The sequence below is a fragment of the Homo sapiens genome, chromosome 10 (genome assembly GCF_000001405.40).
Source record: "Homo sapiens chromosome 10, GRCh38.p14 Primary Assembly".
Taxonomy (NCBI): Eukaryota; Metazoa; Chordata; class Mammalia; order Primates; family Hominidae; genus Homo; species Homo sapiens.
In genome coordinates, this window is record NC_000010.11 from 49803244 (window position 1) to 49825345 (window position 22102).

Below are 22102 nucleotides of genomic sequence, written 5' to 3' on the forward strand. Positions count from 1 at the left end.
TGATCTGGAACTCCTGACCTCACGTGATCCACCTGCCTCGGCCTCCCAAAGTGTTAGGGTTACAGGTGTGAGCCACTGCACCTGGCCACTTTATTCTTTATTTTCAGGATTGTTTTGACTCTTCTGGCTCCCTTGAAATTCCATGTGAATTTTAGAAGTATTTCATCAATTTGTATAAAGAAGTCAGCTGGGTGCCTGTAGTCTCAGCACTTTGGGAGGCTGAGGTGGGCACTTGAGGTCAGAAGTTTGAGACCAGCCTGGCCAACATGGTGAAACCCTGTCTCTACTAAAAATACAAAAATTAGCCCGGTGTGATGGCACTCCCAGCTACTCGGGAGGCTGAGGCAGGAGACTCGCTCGAACCTGGGAGGTGGAGACTGATGTGAGCCAAGATTGCGCCACTGCACTCCAGCCTGGGTAACAGAGTGAGACTCTGTCCCCCGCCCCCCAACAAAAAAAGCCATAAAAGTATATTATATCCAGGATATAGTTGTTGTTTTTTTTTTGTCGTTTTTGGTTTAGTATTTGCTCCATTTTACTGCTTAAAAGCAGAATTTTCTGAGCCCTTTCACAGCCCTAAGGCCTGGTAAACTCTAAAACCTCAATATATAGTGCAAACGTGTATTGAATTTAGGCTTAGTTTTTTTTTAGAGAGAGAGAAAGAGATAAGGTCTTGCTCTTTCATCTAGGCTGGAGTGCAGCGGCGCCATCATAGCTCACTGTAACCTCCAACTTCTGGGCTCAAACAATCCTCCCACCTAAGCCTCCTGAGTAGCTGGGACTACAGGGTGTGGGCTACTATGCCCTGCTAATTTTCTACTTATTTTAACAATATTTTTTGCAGAGACAAGGTTTTATGTGTTGTCCAGGCTGGTCTCAAAATCCAGGCCTTAAGGGATCCTCCCACCTCAGCCTCCCAAACTGCTGGGATTACAGGCATGAGTCACCACATGCCAGCCTGGTTTCCCTGTTTCAACATCTTGCATTGCTGTGATATATTTGTAACTGATGGGGCTATATCGATACATTATTATTAACTCAAGTCCATTACATGAGGGTTCACACTTTGTGTTGTACAATTCTATGGGTTTTGACAAATGCATATGTCATGTATCCACCATTACACTGTCGTACAAAATAGTCTCATCGTCCTAAAAATCCTGTGCCCCATTTTTCACCCCTCCCCTCACCTGTCTACTCACCTTGAACCCCTGGAAACCACTGATATTTATACTATCTCTGTAGTTTCACCTTTTCCAGAAGTCATAATTTGAATGATACAGTATGTAGCCTTTTCAGACCAGCTTCCTTCACTTGGCAATATGCATTTAAGGTTCTTCCGTGTTTTCTAGTGTTTTGACAGCTCATTTCTGTTTAGCACTGAATAATATTCCATAGTCTGCATGGAGTGGTCCATAGTGCATTCACCTACTGAAGACATCTTTGTTGTTTCTATATTTCAGCAATGAGAAATAAAACTGCTGTAAACATTCATGTGAGGATATTCTGTGGATATATTTTCAGTTCACTTGGGTAAAAACCTGGGAGGTCGGCTGCTGGTTCATATGGTAAGACTATGTTTACATTTGTTAAGAAGCTGTCTTCAAAAGTGGCTGTACCTTTTACATTCCCACCAGCAATAAATGAGAGTTCCTGTACCTCCACTTCTGATCAGTGTTTAGTATTGTCAGTGTTTGGGGTTTTAGCTATTCTAATAGCTGTGTAGTGTTATCTCTTTGTAGTTTTAATTTGTGGTACACTAGTGACCTAGGATGTTGGGCATCTTTTCATATGCTTACTTGCCATCTATATATCTTCTTTGGTGAGGTGTCTGTTCAGATCTTCTGCCTACTTTTTTTTTCTTTTTTCAGACAGAGTCTCACTTTGTCACCCAGGCTGGAATGCAATGGTGCGATCTCAGCTCACTGCAACCTCTGCCTCCCAGGTTCAAGCGATTCTCCTGCCTCAGCCTCCCAAGTAGCTACGATTACAAGTGCGCACCATCACGCCCAGCTAATTTTTGTATTTTTAGTAGAGATGGGGTTTCACCATGTTGGTCAGGCTGGTCTCGAACTTCTGACCTTATGATCCATCTGCCTCAGCCTCCCAAAGTGCTGGGACTATAGGCATAAGCCACCACGCCCAGCCTCTGCCTACTTTTTAGTAGGGTTGTTTTCTTATTGTTGAGTTTTAAGAGTTTTTTTCTACACTTTGGATATATATTCTTTTTATCTATTTATTTATTTTTTTTAGACAGAGTCTTCTCTGTCACCCAGGCTGGAGTGCAGTGGCTCAATCTCCACTCACTGCAACCTCCATCTCCCAGGTTGAAGCAATTCTCCTGCCTCAGCCTGCCAAGTAGCTGGGACTACAGGTGAGTGCCACCATGCCTGGCCAAATTTTTCTAATTTAATAGAGACAGGGTTTTGCCATGTTGACCAGGCTGGTCTTGAACTCCTGAGCTCAGGCAATCCACCACCTTGACCTCTCAAAGTGTTAGGATTACAGGCCTGAGCCACTGTGCCCAGCTGGATACATATTATCAGAGTAGCTGGGACTGCAGGCACGTGCCACCACACCCATCTAATTTTTCTATTTTTTGTAGAGATGGGGTTTCACCATGTTGCTTAGGCTGGTCTCGGACTCCTGAGTGCAAGTGATCTGCCTGCCTCAGCCTCCCAAAGTGCTGAGAATACAGGTGTGAGCCACTGCACCTGGCATTGTCTGTTTTTTTGTTTTTGTTTTTTTTTTTGGCATGGTTTGTGCTTTTGATGTTATATCTACAAATTCATCACCGAACCTAGGTCACCTAGATTTTGGCCTTTAGTATCTTTAAGAAATTTTATAGTATTGTGTTTCATATTTAGGTCCATGATCCGTTTTTTAGTTTAATTAATTTTTGTAAAGGTATAAGGTCAGTGCCTAGATTCTTTTTGCACATGAATGTCCAGTTTGGATGTTGGTTAAAAACAGTATCATTTCGGCCAGGCGCAGCATCTCACACCTGTAATCCCAGCACTTTGGGAGGCCAGTGCGGGTGGATCACCTGAGGTCAGCAGTTCGTGACCAGCCTGGCAAACATGGTGAAGCCCCGTCTCTACTAAAAATACAAAAGTTAGCTAGGTGTGCTGGCGGGTGCCTGTAATCCCAGTTACTCAGGAAACTGAGGCAGGAGAATCGCTTGAACCCAGAGGTGGAGGCTGCAGTGAGCCGAGATCAAGTCTACCGATGTTCCTTTTCAGTATTGTGTTGGCTGTTTTGAGTCTTACTGTTCCATATAAACTTTAGAACCACTTTGTCAATATACAAAAATAACTTGCTGGATTTTGACTGAGACTATGTTGAATCCATTGATCAAATTGAGCCTTGGTAACAATGTTGAGTCTTCTGATCAATGAACATGGAATATCTCTCCATTTATTTATTTATTTATTTGAGATGGAGTCTCACTCTGTCGCCCAGGCTGGAGTGCAGTGGCGCAATCTCAGCTCACTGCAACCTCCAAACCCGGGTTCAAGTGATTCTCCTGCCTCAGCCTCCTGAGTAACTGGGATTACAGGCATGTACCACCACGCCTGGCTGATTTTTGTATTTTTGGTAGAGACAGGGTTTCACCATGTTTGTCATGCTGGTCTCGATCTCCCGACCTTGTGATCCACCCACCTTGGCCTCCCAAAGTGCTGGGATTACAGGTGTGAGCCACTGGGCCCGGACTGGTATTTCTCCATTTTTTATTTCTTTCATCTGAATTTGGTAGCTTTCTTCATATAGATCTTGCACATATTTGCGAGCTTTATGCATAAGTATTTCATTTTTTGTGCTAATGTAAATTTTATGGTTTTTAATTTCAAATTCTAACTGTTCATTGCTAGCATACAGCAAAGCAATTAACTTTTTATACTAAACTTGTAACCTGAAACCTTACCATAATAGTTTGTTTGTTTTCTTTGTCTTTTCTTTAGGATTTTCTAGATAAGCATGCCACTGGGAATAAAAGCTGTTTTATTTCTTCCTTCCTAGTCTGTGTGACTTTTTAAAATTTTCTTTTATTGTCCTATTGCATTGGCTAGGATTTCTAGTAGAATGTGGGAAAGTAGTGGTGAGAAGAGAGAGCCTTGCCTTGTTCTTGATCTTAAATGTGAGAAATCTAACTTTTCAACATTGAGTATGATGTTAGCTATAGATTTTTATAGCTCCTTTTAAAAAAATCAAGCTGAGGAAGTTCCTCCTCATGCCTAGGTTGTTGAGAGTCTATTAACCTGAATGAATCTTGAATTTTGTTGGATGCTTTTTTCTACATCTATTGATTGATCATATGACTTTTCTTCTTTGGCTTCTTGATGTGATAGATTACGTTTTCAAATATTGAGCCAGCTGGGCACGGTGGCTCATACCTGTAATCCAGCACTTTGGGAGGCTGAGGTGGGAGGATCACTTGAGCCTGGGAGTTCATGACCAGCCCTGGCAACATAGCAAGATCCTGTCTCTATAAAAATTAAAAAAAAAAAAAAAAGCTAGGCATGGCAGCACATGCCTGTGGTCCCAGCTACTTGGGAGGCTGAGGTGAAAGGATCAGTGACTTGTGGTGGCACCATTTCACTCCAGCCTGAATGAAGGGTGAGACCCTGTCTGAAAACAATCTCAAAAAACCAAAAATATTGAATTAACCTTGCATACCTGGGATAAATCCCACCCTATTGCTCAATTCTATTTGCTATTTGCTAAGATATTTTTAGGCAGTTTTGCATCTATATTTCTACAGGATATTGGTCTGTAGTTTTGTTTATTTACTTTGTCTGGTTTTGGTATTAAAAGGAATTGGGAAGTTTTTTTCTCCTCTTCTGTTTTCTGAGAAAGATTGTATAGACATGGTATTAATTATTCCTTAAACATTTGCTAGAATTCTCCAGTGAAACAGACTGGGCCTGAAGTTTGCTTATTGTGAGTTGTAAAATTAGAAATTCAATTTCCTTACTAGCTATATGGCTATTCAAATGATAAATTTACAAAATTAAACATACTCTTAACCATATGACCTAGCATTCACACTCCTTAATATTTATCCAAATGAATTGAAAGCTTTATTCACAAAAACCTGCATGTAGATGTTTATAGCAGCTTTATTAGTCATTGCCAAAATTTGGAAGCAACCAAGATGTTCTTCAGTAGGTGAATGGATGAAGAAACTGTGTCACATCAAACAATGGAACATTATTCAGTACTAAAAAGAAGTGAGCTATCAAGCCATGAAAAGACATGGAGGAAATTTAAATGAATTTAACTATGTGAAAGAAGCCAGTCTGGGCTGGGGGCGGTGAGTCATGCCTGTAATCCCAGCAATTTGGGAGACTGAGGTGAGCAGATCACTTGAGATCAGGAGTTCAAGATCAGCTGGCCAACATGGTGAAACCCCGTCCCTACTTAAAATACAAAAATTAGCTAGGCGTGGTGGTGTGTGCCTGTAGTCCCAGCTACTCAGGAGGCTGAGGCAGGAGAATCATTTGAACCTGGGAGGCAGATGTTGCAGTGAGCCAAGATGGCACCACTGCATTCCAGCCTGGGCGACAGAGCGAAATTCAGTCTCAAAAAAAAAAAAAAAAAAAAAGAAGCCAATCTGAAAAGGCTACACACTAACACACTATGTAATTCCAACTATATGACATTGTGGAAGAGACAAAATTATTAAGATAGTAAAATATCAGTAGTTGCCAGTGCTTGCGGGGAGGGAGGAATGAACAGATGGAGCACAGAGGATTTTTAGGGCAAATGTATTCAATCAGCTGTAGTAATTTGTAAAACTTTTGGAATTTTTGGTCCATTTCATCTAAGCTGTAAAAAAATATCTGTAGAGTTGTTTGAGCATTCCTTTATTATCCCTTTTGAGATTTGGAAGGTCTATAATAATATCCCTTGTTTTATTCCTGATACTAGTAATTTGGGTCTTATTTTTTTCTTTCGGTCTTGTGAGAGGTTTGTTTTATATTTTGTTGATTATTTCAAAGAACTAGCTTTTTGTTTCATTGAGTCTCTCTTGATGTTTGTTTTTCATTTTCATTGATTTCTGCTCTTTATTTTGTTGAATTATGCTCACTTTGGGCTTCTTTTACTCTTTTTACCAGTTTCTTGAGGTGGGAGCTTAGGTTACCGATTTGCGAGTTTTCCTCTTTGTGTATGCACTTACTACTATAACTTTCCCATTCAGCACTGCTTTAACTGCATCCCACACATTTTGATATGTTTTCATTTTCACTCAGTTCAACATATATTTCAGAATTTTCCCTTGAGACTTCCTCTTTTATGCATTTATTATTTTAAAGTATGCCGTTTACTTTCCAAGTCTTTAGAGATTTTTCTTTTATCTTTCTGTTATTGATTTCTAGTTGATCCACTGTGCCAGAGAACACATTTATATGATTTCAACTTTTAAAAATCTGTTTCATGGCCCAGGATATAGTCTATCTTGGCATATGTTCCACGAGCACTTGAAAAGGATGTGCATTCTGCTGTTTTGAGATAGAGTGTTCCATAATCGCCGTTTAGACCCTGTTGATTTATGGTGGTGTTGCGTTCCTCTGTATTTTTGCTGATTTTCTGTCAAGTTGTTCTGTCAATTATTAAGGGAGGGACGTTAAAATCACCAACTATAATTGTAGATGAGTCTATTTCATCTTTTATTTCTATTGGCTTTTGCTTCACATGTTTTACAACCCTGTTATTTTGTGCATAAACATTTAGAATTGTTGTCTTCTCAGTGGCTTGACCCTTTAATCATGTAATATATCTCATTCCCTGACAACTTTTTTTTGCTCTAAGGTCTGCTTTACTTCATATTGTACAGGCACTGCTGTTTTCTTTTGATTAATGTTTGCAAGGTATACATTTTATTCCACTCATTCACTTTGAATCTACCCATATTACTATACTGGAAGTAAGTTTGTTAGACACCATATAGTTCATATAATTGCATTCGTTTTTATAAGCTCTACCAATCTGTCTTTTATATCTAATGTCCTTAGAGTTCATGTAACTACTACTGTATTAGGGCTTACAGTCTTCCACTTTTTAAATTAATAAACTTCACATTTTATAGTTTCAGGTTTACAGCAAAAGTGAGCAGAAATTACAGTTTCCATACATCTCGTTTCTGCACATACACAACCTATCAATATCCTGTGCTGCATTGGTACTTTTTTTTTTTTTTTTTTTTTACAATCAATGAACCTACATTTACACGTCATCACCTGAAGTTCATAGTTTACATTAGAGTTCACTTTTGGTGTTGTATATTCTATGGGTTTTTATAAATATAATGACATGTATCCCCACCATTGTAGTATCATACAGGACAGCTTCATTGCCCTAAAAATCTTCTGTGCTCCACCTATTCATCTCTCCCTCCCCACAAGCACTGGCAACCACTGATATTTTACTATCTTCATAATTTTGTCTCTTCCACTCTGTCATATAGTTGAACTATACAGTATGTAACCTTTTCAGATTGGCTTCTATCACTATTTAAATTTCCTTTGTGTCTTTTCATGGCTTGATAGCTCGCTTCTTTTTAGTACTGAATAATGTTCCATTGTTTGGATGTACCATAGTTTTTTGTTTGTTTGTTTTTGAGATGGAGTTTTGCTCTTGTTGCCCAGGCTGGAGTGCAGTGGCGCGATCTCAGCACACCACAACCTCCGCCTCCTGGGCTCAAGTGATTCTCCTGCCTCAGCCTCCTGAGTAGCTGGGATTATAGGAATGCGCCACCACGCCCAGCTAATTTTGTATTTTTAGTAGAGATGGGGTTTCTCCATGTTGGTCAGGCTGGTCTTGAACTCCTGACCTCAGGTGATCTGCCCACCTTGGCCTTCCAAAGTACTGGGATTATAGGCATGAGCCACTGTGCCCAGCCAGGATATACCATAGTTTCTTTATCCATTCATCTACTGAAGAACATGTTGGTTGCTTCCAAATTTTGGAAATGATTAACAAAGCTGCTATAAACATCTATGTATAGGTTTTTGTGTGAAGTTTTCAATTCATTTGGATAAATACTAAAGAGTATGAGTGCTGCATCATATGGTAAGATTATGTTTAGTTTTGTAAGAAAGTGTCAAACTGTTTTCCAAAATGGCTATAAAATTTTGCATTTTTACCAGCAATAAATGAGAGTTCTTGTTACTCCACATGCTTGCCAGCATTTAGTGTTGTCAGTGCTTTTGATTTCGGCCATTCTAATAGGTATGTAGTGGCATCTTGTTGTTTTAATTTGCAGTTTCCTAATAACACATTATTGTTGAATATCTTTTCATATGTTTACTTGTGATTTGTGTATCATTTTTGGTGAGATGTCTGTTCGGTATTTTGTTCTTTTTTTTTTTTTTTTTTTTTTTTTTTTGGAGATGGAGTCTCGCTCTGTCGCCTAAGCTGGAGTGCAGTGGTGCGATCATGGCTCACTGCAAGCTCCGCCTCCTGGGTTCACGCCATTCTCCTGCCTCAGCCTCCCAAGTAGCTGGGACTACAGGTGCCTGCCACCATGCCTGGCTAATTTTTTGTATTTTTAGTAGAGACGGGGTTTCACCATGTTAGCCAGGATGGTCTCAATCTCCTGACCTCATGATCCGCCCACCTCAGCCTCCCAAAGTGCTGGGATTACAGGCGTGAGCCACCGTGCCCGGCCGTTTTGTTCATTTTTAATTAGGTGTTCTTTCTCTTATTGTTAAGCTTTGAGTCCTTTCTGTATATTTTGGAGAACAGTTCATTATTAGATCTATCTTTTGCAAATATTTCCTCCCAGCCTATGACTTGTCTTTTCATTCCCTTAACTGTGTCTTTTGGAGAGAAGTTTTGAATTTTAATGAAGTCCAGTTTATCAATTATTTCCTTTATGTAGTGTGCCTTTGGTGTTGCATCTAAAAAGTCAACCGGGTTTTCTCCTATGTTGTCTTCTAGGGATTTTACAGTTTTGCATTGTACATCTAGGTCTATGATCAATTTTCAGTGAATTTTTGTGATGAGTGTAAGGTCTATATCTACATTTATTTTTTAACATGAGATATCCAGTTGTTCCAGCATCATTTGTTGAAAACACTGTCTTTGCTTCATTGTATGGCATTTCCTCCTTTGTCAAAAAATGAGTTGACTGTATTCATGTGGGTCTATTTCTGGGCCTCTATTCTATTCCATTGGTCTATTTATTTTTGCCAGTATGAATTACTGTAGCTTTATTTATCATCATTTTAGACCCAGTTGTTTAGTAAGTTTTGACGTCATGCCAAAGTCTTCCAACTTTGTTCTCCTTCAATACTGAGTTGGCTATTCTGGGTCTTTTGTCTCTCCATATAAAGTTTAGACTTAGTTCATCAATATCCATGAAATAATTTGCTGAGATTTTAATTGGGAATGTGTTGAATCTATAGATTAAGTAGGAAAAAACTGACATCTTGACAATATTGAGTCTTCTTGTCCATGAACATGGTTTAGTTCTTTGATATCTTTCATTGAAGTTAAGTAGTTTTCTTCATATACATCTTATACATATTTTGTTAGATTTACACCTAAGTATTTTATTTTGGCAGGGGGTAATGTAAATGGTAATGTGCTTTGAATTTCAAATTCCACTTAATTGCTGGTGTATAGAAAAGCAATAGACTTTTGTACATTATATTATATCCTGGGCAGGCGTGGTGGCTCACACTTGTAATCCCCGCACTTTGGGAGGCCAAGGCAGGTGGATCACTTGAGTCCAGGAGTCGACACCATCCTGGCCAACACGGCAAAACCCTGTCTCTACTAAGAACACAAAAAATTAACCGGGTGTGGTGGTGCATGCCTGTAGTCCCAGCTACCTGGCAGGCTGAGGTGGGAAGATCCCTTGAGCCCCTAAGGTGGAAGTTGCAATGAACTGAGATTGTGCCACTGCACTCCAGCCTGGGTGACAGAGTGGAACTCCATCTCAAACAAAACAAAACAAACCCAAAAACCATTGTATTCTGCAACCCTGCTGCAATTGTTTATCAGTTTCTTATTTGTCAATTCTACATGTCATCTGTGAACAAAGTATTTCCCTTTATTGTTGTATTGCACTAGCTAGGATTTCCAGTATGATGTTAAAAAACAGTGGTGATATGGGATATCCTTGCCTCATTCCTGATCTTAGCAGGAAAGCTTCACGTTTCTCACCGTTAAGTATGATGTTACCTGTAGGCTTTTTCTAAATGTTCGTGATAAAGTTTAGGAAGTTTTCTTTCTTTTTTCCCCCCAAAGATATCTTCCTAACATTCAAAGTTTTCTTTCTATTCCTAGTTTGCCAAAGGGTTTTTTTTTTTAAATCATGAATGTGTGTTGCATTTTGTCAAATGCTTTTTCTACATCTATTAATATGATCACATTATTTTTCTTCTTTAACCTGTTGATGTAATGGATTACATTAATTGACTTTTGAATGTTGAACCAGCCTTACATACCTAGTATAAATCCCACTTGGTTGCGTGTATAATTATCTTAATACACTTCTGGATTCAATTTGTTAATATTCTGTATGGGATTTTTACATCTATGCTCATAGGAAATATTAGCCTGTAGTTTCCTTTTCCTGTAATGTCTTTGTCTGGTTTCAGTATTAGGGTAATGCTGACCTCAGAGATTAAGAAGGATTCTCTCTGCTTCTATCTTCTGAATAACATAGAAAATTGGTATAAATTCTTTCTTAAATGTTTGGTAGGATTCACCAGAAATCTGGGTCAAATGCTGTTTCAAGGTCATTAATTATTGATTCATTATCTTTAAAAATCATAGGTCTAGTCATAGTGTAGCCATAAAATAGATTCTCTATTTCTTCTTATGTGATTTAAAGCAGATGTGTTTTTCAAGGAATTGGTCCATTTCTTCTAGCTTATTAAATTTGTGAACACAGTTGTTCATAATATTCCTTTATTATACTTTTAATGTCATGGGATATGTAGTCATGCCCTCTCTTTCATTTACTATTATTATTTTTTTTGAGAAGAATTCTCACTCTGTCACCAGGCTGAGGTGCAGTGGTGCAGTCTTGGCTCTCTGCAACCCCCACCTCCCGGAAGTGATTCTCCTGCCTCAGCCTTCCAAGTAGCTGGGACTATAGGCACGTGCCACTATGCCCAGCTAATTTTTATATTTTTAGTAGAGACTTGGTTTCACCACGTTGGCCACGATGGTCTCAATCTCCTGACCTCATGATTCGCCCACCTCGGCCTCCCAAAGTGCTGGGATTACAGGCATGAGCCACTGAGACTGGCCATTTTTTATATTAATAATTATATATCTTTACTTTTTTTTTTTAGTCTGGTTACAGACTTACTGATTTTATTGATCTTCTCAAAGAATAAGCTTTTGGTTTTTCTGACATTTTTTTTTCCCGGTTGTTCTCTTTTTTTCTTCCTGTGGGTTAATTGAACTTTTTTTTTTTTTTAATTCCATTTTGGCTTATCTGTAGGGTTTTTGAGTATATCTCTTTTCATAGCCTTTCTAGTGGTTGCTCTAGCTACTACATTGTATTATGTATAGCTTTTCATAGTCTACTGGCATCAACATTTTAATTGTTTGTGTGAGCCGAAACCTTACCTCTATGCCCCTTTTCTTTCCCACATTTATAACAATTATTTTCTCTGCATACAGTGAAAACCCCAATAGACATAATTATATTTTGCTTCAAAAAATGTAATTTCGAAACCCACAGAGGTGTATTGTATTTACCCATACTTTTACTGTTTCTACTCTTCCTCCCTGATCTTCCAAGATTCCTTCATTGATGGTTTCCTTTCTGTTTCAAGAACTTCTTTAGCATTTCAGCCAGAACCACAATTTTCTAATAATTCACCAAAATGACAAACACAAAAAGGAGGAGAGGCACCTGATATATGTTCTCTGGACCTTTTATAACATGCAGTTGTTCCTTTGGCCACATACACACGAATCTAACAAGAAAAGTCATACCATAGACATCAGTATGGGAACTGTTTGAAAAGGAATACCCACAAATGTTCCCATGGCAAAACTGGGAGTCCACAATGTTACCCACCATGCTATTGGCATTGTTGTAAACAAATTAAGGGGAATACTCTTGTCAAGAGATTAATGTGCATACTGAGTGTAGTAAGGACTCTAAAGGTTGAGATAGCGTCTTGAGAAGTGTGAAGGAAAATGACCAGAAAAAAAGGAAGCCAAAGAGAAAGGTACCTGGGCTTAACTGAGGCGCCAGCCTGTTCTTCTCAGAGAAGCACACTTTCTGAGAACCAATGGGAAGGAGCCTGAGCTGCCAGAACCTGTTCTCTACTAATTCATGCCATAATAGGTGTGTAACAACAACAACAACAAAAGACCTTTGCACTGTTTAAAAAAAACAAAAACAAAAACAAAAAAAACTTCCTTTAGCCATTTTATCAGGGCAGGTCTGCTGGCAACTAATTCTGTTAGTTTTCCTTTTTTGTGTTTGTCTTGTAGACAATGTGTCATTGCTTTTGGTTGCACTTTCCTGGTCCTTTAGCTACAGAGAATGGGCTCTTCTTGAGCCTCTGTCTACATACAGCCATTCCAGGTTGTTGGGTTCTCCAGTAACTGGTATTAAGTATGGGATATACAAGGCAGTAAGAAAATCCAGGGAACTCACCACTATTTTATTCCTTGATTCCCAAGGTCTCTAGCAATTCTGCCTTCTTTTTTCCAACTTTCAAAGTGTTCTTGTTTGTTTTATATATAATGTTCAGGGTTTTTTAAATGAGTTTAGAAGAAAGAATAGAGAAAAGTATGTTTATTCCATCTTTTGGAATCAGAAGTCCTTTTCCGATTATTTTGATGTGTGTGTGTGATGATCCTGTGGTCATCTTTTTAAGACATACTGATTTACAGATAAAATATAATGTCTGGGATGAACTTTGTAATAATTTGGCATGGGTAAATGGGTAGGAATATAGGTGGAAGTGAGATTAGCCATGAACGGATAAATATTGAAGATAAGTGACAGGTATATTACCCTATTTTATTTTTGTATATGTCCGAAATGCTCCTTTAAAAAAAATTTCCTGACTACCCCACTCTAATATTACAGAATCTTACAATAATCATGATTTATCTGTAGCTATTGTCTATGTTCCCTGGTAGAGTATAAACTCGTTAACAGGGATTCAGTCTATCTTGGTCACAATTATAAGCTCCAAAACTTTAAAGTGACTGGCATATAGTTGTTACTCAAATTACCACGTTTTGTCAAATACAAGATGCCATAGATTGTAAAATGTGTCTTAATTTTATGTACCAATAGGAAAAATTTCTGCAAATTGTGACACATACTACCAGTTTTCTTTTCTTTTCTTTTCTTTTTTTTTTTTTTTTGAGATGGAGTTTTGCTCTTGTCACCCAGGCTGGAATGCACTGGCATGATCTCGGCTCACTGCAAACTCCACCTCCTGGGTTCAAGCGACTCTCCTGCCTCAGCCTCCCAAGTAGCTGGGATTACAGATGCCTGCCACTATGCCCAGCTAATTTTTTATTTTTAGTAGAGATGGGGTTTCACCATGTTAGCCGGGCTAGTCTCGAACTCCTGGCCTCAGGTGATCCACCCACCTTGGCCTCCCAAAGTGCTGGGATTACAGGCGTGAGCCACTGCGCCCGGCCGACATACTACCAATTTTTAGAAGTATTTTGATTTGGGAGATGCTACAATGTGAAAACATGTCTATTGGTATCTGTGGAATAAATAAGCTGAAATAATGTGAGGTTTACATAATGGTGAATATGTGTTCAAGGACAGATCATGTATTAATTGATAACAGCTATATTTTTTAGTCTATTATCAATTCTTCAGTGAATGTTCCTTCCCAAATATTAAAAATTTATGTTCAAGTTTGTAGGACTATTACAAACCTTAATAGAAAATACAAGATTCCACAATGATGGTCTCCACCTTTTACCACCAAGAACCTCCTGTATTAATTTATCCCCAAGGTCTCCATATTTTAAAATACTTTGATAACCAAGTAAAGTTCACTTGTTAAGCTAATTTTGTCTTTTATGGATGAAATTATACTATTTGGATTGAGGTAATATAATTCCAGCTACAATAAAAGAAACTTCACCTTTTGCCCTACTTGTATGGATTCACTACAGGGAAATGTAACATTTCCATTAGAATATAACTTTGTAACCTCTAGTGCTACTTTCCTAGAGTCTAGGCCCCAGTGGAATGGGGATGGCAGTCACTGACTGGCTCTTAGCTCCTACATTAAGTCATCAAAGGGCATTTAGCTGGCCCATCTTACATTTATGTTAGGAGTTAGGCCATTTGTTTACACAGCTCTCCACAAAAGAGTCTTACTTTCTGTGTTTTGGAATACCCAGCTGGGTGACTTCTTACTTGGATTAATGATTTCTCTACCATAAGAACCAACCTACCCTATTCATGAAACATTTTAAAGAACGGGTCACTTAGTCTTGGGCTGCACAGGAGGAGACGAGTGTGGAGCTAGAAAAAGTGAGGACATGAAACAACCATGAATCTGCAACCAAAGCAAAGAATGGGAAAGATTTTAGTATCAACAGAACTAAAGACAGATTCTTCCAAATTTGAGAGATGACTAAAAATCTTAGTTATTGTGGTAAAAAACTTCAGTGACAAGTGGCTGCCTTCAGGTGCCAAATCTCACTATCCTCTCAATCTCTACATAAACAAAAAGTGTGATGGCCACCAGCCAAGGCCCTGTCTTTTTCCTGCCAGTAGCAGGAGGTCAGGCCATCCACTGAAGTGCCTTACGAATAGGATTTGACCGCCACTAGCGTTTCCTGACAGCTGATGGTAAACCAGAACAACAACAGGGTGGTTTAGGATTGTTTTGGAAATCTGAGTAGTAAGTGCTTCTGTGATGAAACTCCACTTTCGGTTAACACAGGATGGGCTTTGGCTTTCACTTTAACCTCTGAAAGACATTATTATTTATGTTTGTCGCCAGATTTAAAAATGCATAATTGTGATAAAGGACGTTAAACAGAACCCAAATAATGCCTAAACCTAATTGTTTCCCACCAGTCCAATTTTATTTAGATTTTATGTGCTCACATATAGACACACTTAAAGAGCATACGTTTATATATACATATATAAAATATAGATGATATGGGAGTTTCTGACAAAGTGATTTATTAATGAAAATTCATTCACTATATAACCTTTGAATACCAGAGAAACTTCAATATGTACAAATCAGCATGAAGTTCCCAGTTCTCAAACTTTGGTTATATGAATATGCCTCAAGCACCACAAAAGAAACATTAGTCCTAATTTAAAAAGAAAAAAGTACCAAGAAACAAAAAAAATCTTCAATTCTCTTGAATCTGTTTTCTTTACACCACATCAGGAAAACCTCCTTTTATTCCACATTTCCTTTCATCTCAGCCAGTCTCCAAAACTGGTATAAAAAAATACTGATCAGAGGAAAAAAGACAGACAAACCATTACAGATAAAAATGATACCTCAAAAGTACAATTTCTGGAAATTATTCTATCTTAAATAAAGAAACTATTTTAACCTAGGAGGTTTGCATTATGCAACACATATGAAAAAAACCCTAATTATTAATTTTCAGAATTTAAAAACTTAAACAATGCAAGCATATTAAGAGTTGAGTGGAAGGCTCACAGGGAGATTTTTAGCAAAATCAGTTAAAGAGATTCCTGGATTTCAACTTGTTTCCTGGCATCGCTGGCATCTGCGGGCTGCAGAAGCAACTGGTATAATATATGGGCAGGAAGAAAGAGACCCGACAGGCTGAGCACAACCTTCCATGGGATTTCACAAGAGATCTGATGGACAAAAGAAATAAACATCAAAGAATGAAAAACTGAAATAGAAGAAAATAGAAACAAAACATATCTAAGTCCACGTGAGTCAGGATGGAGGGAGTTTAGATGTACCAACTGACAACTGCACATGTGTGGAAGAGATTGCGTCCTTGACTACAAATGTGGATTATGTACACATTTATATTAACTTAAGTCAATTCATATATTACACCTGACAGCTCAAACAGGACGTCTCTGGTGGGAGGTGGGAGGAGATGCTATTCGCTCGGCTCCTCAGGTCCCTGTCCTTTGCCCTGAATGGTCAGCGGTCTCTGCACAGGACTCGACAGCATGGTATATGAATGGATAAAGCTTGATGTCTGGTCCAGGGGTGGAACAGTTTCTGCATTCTTCATTGTAGTATCGTAGCAACAGCTTATACACATCTCCTGGAGAGCAAAAGGTCAGACCAGAGGCACATTAAAGTATGTAATTGAAAAAACCTTAGAAAGAACACTCCAGTTTTATCTTAATCTAAATGGCATATGCTCAGACTTGGCTTTTGAAAATACAGCATGAATTTCATATGCCTGAAAGGCTTTCCCAACATAAATTAAACAAGATTTTTAACACTCTTTAAAGAAACAACTTCTTTGCTCATGATAACAACAGGCTATCCATGGTACACTGTCCATGCACCCTCGTTATGCACTGTCATGGCAGCCCTCGTTATACACTTTGCTCCTGAGGTAGCAAGCACACTGGATGAGCGCTGGCAGGTCTGAGAAACAGGACAGTGGGGCTTCTCAGATCTGAACTTACCCTCATTCATCTTTCCCATTTTAGATTTTTATAGACAGAAAAGTAAAAATGAACACCAACTTCAGCTTCTTGACCTTACTTTAGTAAGCTGATATACCCTATCAAGACTGTGGATGAAACTCTGCCAGAACAAAAAGACTCTGCAAATGCTGCCCCTCTGAGGGTTTGTCCTTCCTGCTTAGAGCCATGCTTTTGTTTCTTCGTACCCACTGTGATTCATCCAGATTTAGCAAGTGTTCCCACTGAATGGTGTACAATCCATCTAGATACCAAGTGTCAAGAGTATCTCCTACTTACCAACAGTGAGTTTCCTTTCAGTAAGGAAAATGTGCATGCTGTAAATGTCTCTCATCAATTCTGAGTCCCCAAAGGTGAAATAAACCACATCTCGCTCAGCTGCAGCAGCTGCCAATATCTGTATTAAGGCTGAGGCAAAGAGAAAAGACACGGCTATATCATGACATTTTCCACCTAGATACCTTTAGCTCTTTACCAGCTGGTGTGCCACAGCTTCATCCTAGATTAAAGATTTATAAACCCAGTATACATGGTATTAGAAATGGGGAACACAAGGCTGGGCGCGGTGCCTCACACCTGTAATCCCAGCACTCTGGGAGGCTGAGGCAGGCAGATCACCTGAGACCAGGAGTTCGAGACCAGCCTGGCCAACATGGTGAAACCCTACTAAAAATACAAAAAAAAAATTTAGCCGGGTGTGGTGGCAGGTGACTGTAATCCCAGCTACTCGGGAGGCTGAAGCAGGAGAATTGCTTGAACCTGGGAGGTGGAGGTGGCAGGTGAGCCGAGATCGCACCACTGCACTCCAGCCTGGGTGACAGGGCAAGACTCCATCTCAAAAAAAAAAAAAAAGAAATGGGGAATACAGGATGGACATAAATCATCTAGTTGTGTGGCTTTTCAGACATGCTGCCAAGAATATCATCAAACTATAGAATTCCAACACAGGCACCTTTGCTGAACCACAAATAAAGGAAGCTGCAAACCATGGGACTAAGGTAGTATTTATATTCGCTTCTATTAATCTGGAACTAAAATTTTTTGTGTTTGCTTACTTGATATAATTGCTGTGTCTTATCACACAGCCACTGGCCTTTTGTATAGGCACATTTGGGAGGTTCTAATGTTCTCCTTAATCCCACAGCAGGAGTTCTCAAAATGGGCTGGGGAGCACACCTGCGTCCCTCCTGCACTCCCACCTCCACTGGCCACTGCAGAACTCCCGTTCTGCAGAGTTCCTGAAAACACTGGACAGTCACTCTCTGGTGTGTTATAAGAATGAAAAAACAATCGAGATCTACTATCTCCAGGAATCAAAGTTACAAATCACTGAGCCTGAAGTATGTTTCCGAAAATTTAGTTACCTTACAATCTCAATAGATAGGATTTTAAATAACCACAAAATTGAATACAGTTACAATAAATGCCCTTTCGCTAGTTATAAATCTCTTACTTCATAAAAGGGAAGATGGGAATCAAATTAAAACATTAAAGAGGATATATATATTTTTTGAGATGGAGTCTTGCTCTGTCACCCAGGCTGGAATGTAGTGGTGTGATCTCAGCTCACTGCAACCTCTGCCTCCCGGGTTCAAGCGATTCTCCTGCCTCAGCCTCCCAAGTAGCTGGGATTACAGGAGCCTGCCACCATACCTGGCTAATTTCTGTATTTTTAGTAAAGACACGGTTTCACCATGTTGGCCAGGCTGGTCTCGAACTCCTGACCTCAAGTGATCTGCCCGTCTCGGCCTCCCAAAGTGTGGGGATTACAGGCATGCGCCAATGTGCCTGGCCAAAGAGGGTATCTTTTTACAGTTTTGATTTTTGACAGCATGTTAATATTCTACATATTTACAAATTAAAATTAAAATACTAAGAATGGGAATGGGAAGAAACCTACAATTGAAGGTAAACTAAAATAAATGAGCGTAATTTTAGTCCAAATAAATAACATAACCACATTGAAGGGAAAGGAAGAAGAACAGGAAGAAAGAAAGAACCCAAGTAACTTACAAAGACAATATATGACTTATATAAGTCCATAAGACCATAATATATGGTCTTAGGCCAGAAAGAGAGAACTGCAAACAAATTCCCAACTCTTTTTACAAGGTTTGCTTACCATAGTAGTAGAGGTGAAGCAACTCTGAAACTATTTTGAATTGTATTAGAGGAATGAGCAAATGAATAAATGTGTTGATGCTGCTGGGAACAGGTGTCTCACTATGGAAGGAGGGACACACAAAAATGGAATGGAGGAAGACAAAAAAGAACTGTGTGAGGATGGACTGAAATGGAAGGCATTGGTGTATACTCATGATGTCGAAAATATGTGTATCTGTGTGTGTGTGTGTGTGTATGTGTGTGTATGCACATATATATTTCCTAGCTCTGTCTGCTAAAAGGGCCAAAAGGGAGACACCACAGTAGCAATGAGCACACTCAGCACCCAAATCTTGGTCTCTACCATCATTCCCCCTAAATGGAACTAGATTTCTCAAGAAGTGCTTAATGCTATAGTTTGGACAAGAAAGGTACAAGATGACCTCAAAATATTTTGTTATACCAGAAGGTAAAGTAGTGCTCAAATGGATAAAACAAAACGAAACAAAAAACAGACGGGCCAGCTCTTCCCCACAGGAGAAAGCCAAAGACTAACTGGTAAGTGTGGTTGGGGTGTTAGAATAGGAACATCCTTTCTTTGCAACCACTGTGGTAAAGGTCAGGCAAGAATCATTAACAGATGCCAAATCTAGGGAAAATTTTGCCTTTGTTTTCCTACAGATTGCTTATTAGTTACAAGAGAGGAAAAAAATCCTCAACTCTGCAGTGGGGAAACTGGGCAACAGCCTGACACAGTGATCAAAATTAAGATCACCAGTAGTGTCAGATGGCCATCAAGTGCCTCTTGACAGTGTCACTGATGCAGCATTCTGACAGAGAATGCATAACCTCAACCTCATCACAAGGAAACAGCAGACAAACTCAAAGAACGTTGTATTCTTTAAACACATCAATGTCATAAGAGACAAAAAAAGGCTGTGGAAATATTCTCAATTCAAAAGGAGGCTAACAAACATGACAACTAAATGCAGTAGCTGACCCTGGACCCTGTGCTAGAGGGGAAAAAGGCTAGAAAGGGCTTTATTAGGTCATCTGACAAAATGAGAATATAGATGAAAGAGTAAATAAGATATCAGTGTACATTTATGAATTTAATAACTATAATGTGTTTATATAAGATAATATTTTATTCTTAAATACAAATTGAAGTATTTAGGAAAGAGGGCATAGTATATGTAAGTTAAGCTCAAATAATTCAGAAAAAAATTATGTGCATGTGTATACATATATATGCATACATAAAGGTGTGTATTTTTATTTTTATAAATTTGAAATTATTTTTAAATAGAAAGTTTTAAAAATTACATAGGAAGAAAAAATTTTAAGTTGAACCAGTAAAATTTGATATCGTTGAGTATTTCCCAGATTTGGGAAAGAATCTATGACATAATATATGTAAGACCCTAAAATACCATCAAAGTATGTCCTAATTCCCAAACTAATATTTATTGAGTACCCACAACATGGGAGGTGCCATGACTATGCCTCATTAATCTCAGAGTATTGAAAGTAATTAACTTCAAAATAGAGATAAGTTTTAATTAAAACTGCTCAACCAACTTATCCATACATTAAAGTTTCAATACACCCTATTTCAAAAGGTTCTTAATTAACCTAAACTACACATAAAAATGGGAACGAATGAATCATCATCTTTCTCCACCAAGAAGTACCATTTCTTACCTTTTACTGAAAATGAAAATTTAGCTTTAAGTATTTACTATTAAAAAAGACAGAGACCCAAAGAAGAGTCCTTTTCATCCTATTTCCTACTAGATCTCTAGTCATTTGCCATTTGTGAAAATGAAGTATTAATAAAAAACATTTAAAATTTATCTCTTTATAGAATTTATTTTATATTAAGAGAAAATCAAAAAGTAAAACCAATTCACATTACATTCTTGATTTCACACCCATTTCTATTAGAGTACATATTGTACCATAAGCACGTGTTAGACTAGTTAGGACTGGCAGGCAGGAGATCCAAGTTCTATCTTCAGCCTTCTGCCAGCTATCTAGCTCTGTGACTAGCCAGTTACTCTCTGGGCCTCATTTTTCTCAACTACACCATGGAGTTAAATCAGATGCTCCCTGAAGATTCTGTCAGAGTTTAGAAATCCATAATCACTGTTATAATTGTTTTCCCTCCATTGAATGCTAGACTATACATACATAAATGAAATTTCCAGAAAGATAATCTCGATCCTAGATACATCAGTAAACACTGACAAAAGTTTATTTTAAAACATCACTGTCTTCAGGCCTCCTTGTCTACAACACCCCCAAGATCTTTGCAAATCTACACAATTATGCCTCATGATTTAAGTGAACTCTCTTGCATCAAAAGTTAGAAGAGAATAAATCACAAGTCTATTAGAGTATGTGGACTGATTCCAAGTATGATATAAAAACATCGAATTCTAACTTCAAGCACAACTATGTGCCAAAATAATCACTTAAATTAACCTGCAGGGAGCTTGGTTTTAATTTTCTTTTTGGCATCAATGTTAAGCTATGAAAAAATACAAATAAATATGAATAACATGAAAAGCAATTCATAGTGTCCTGTTGCAACAAATGGACCAAGCACAAAATGGGTAAGATGATTGATACTCACACCACAAGTGTGGTGTGAGGCCACCAGCATGTAATATTGGTAACAACTGCTAACACTGGGCTCTTATAGCATGCTGAACACTGTTCTAGGAGCTTTACAAATACTACCTCGTGATTCCTTACAAAAACTCAACAAGAGAATTATTATTTCCATATTGAAAATAAAGAAATTTAGGCATCAAAAGGTTATGTAATTTGTCTCAGGTCACACAGCCAGAAAGCGGTGGAGCTGACTGGGCCACCAACTCAAGAATGCATGCCCTTGCCCACTGCTTCTGGGCTGCTGTGGCAATCCACCCTGGTCAACTCCAAGCAGACCTTACCACATGCCAGCCAGAGCAATGTCTTTACATTGTTTATTCAAACGATTTAAATGCATGCTGTCAAGGAGGCCAAAATAGTACAGATTTGAAAGTACTATGCATGTCCTTCTACTGAGCTCACTTTGTGAGCTCTCACATTTTGGGTACCCTGAGAGCTCAGCTTTGCTCACCAGTACCAAAAGCATTTCACTTCTTGTTTCTACCACACAGCACTCTTCGAGGCCAACTCTTATTCTCCAATTGGTCTTGTCCTCTGGCTACTGTTTTAAATCTTGACACTCCCTCCTTTTCCACTATGGATGTTACTAATGGCTCAATCTTTGGTCCTCTCACCTGCTTTAAATACACTCTCTCTTCAAGAATGCAGCCACCATCTCTAGAATGGTAACTCCCAAAT

The 22102-nt window shown here is 38.6% G+C and overlaps 1 protein-coding gene and 1 pseudogene across 13 annotated transcripts in view; one reads left to right on the forward strand and one right to left on the reverse strand.

The window, feature by feature from the left end:
• Nucleotides 11815–12355, forward strand: RPL21P89 (ribosomal protein L21 pseudogene 89; annotated as a pseudogene).
• The window catches only part of PARG (poly(ADP-ribose) glycohydrolase), a 123749-nt gene continuing 116682 nt past the window's right edge, over nt 15036–22102 (reverse strand). For 8 of the 13 annotated variants that reach the window (NR_136754.3, NR_136755.3, NM_001303486.3 and 5 more), the window contains 2 exons: nt 16922–17050; nt 15036–16251 (listed from right to left, as the gene is read on the reverse strand). Coding sequence is in view for 6 of the 13 variants with exons in the window: in NM_001303486.3 (NP_001290415.1) it covers nt 16097–16251; nt 16922–17050 (284 nt within the window). In the remaining 7 variants the exon portion in view is untranslated. The remainder of the gene's footprint in view (nt 16252–16921; nt 17051–22102) is intronic. The other 5 variants (NR_130169.3, NR_136752.3, NR_136753.3 and 2 more) reach the window with 1 other exon arrangement.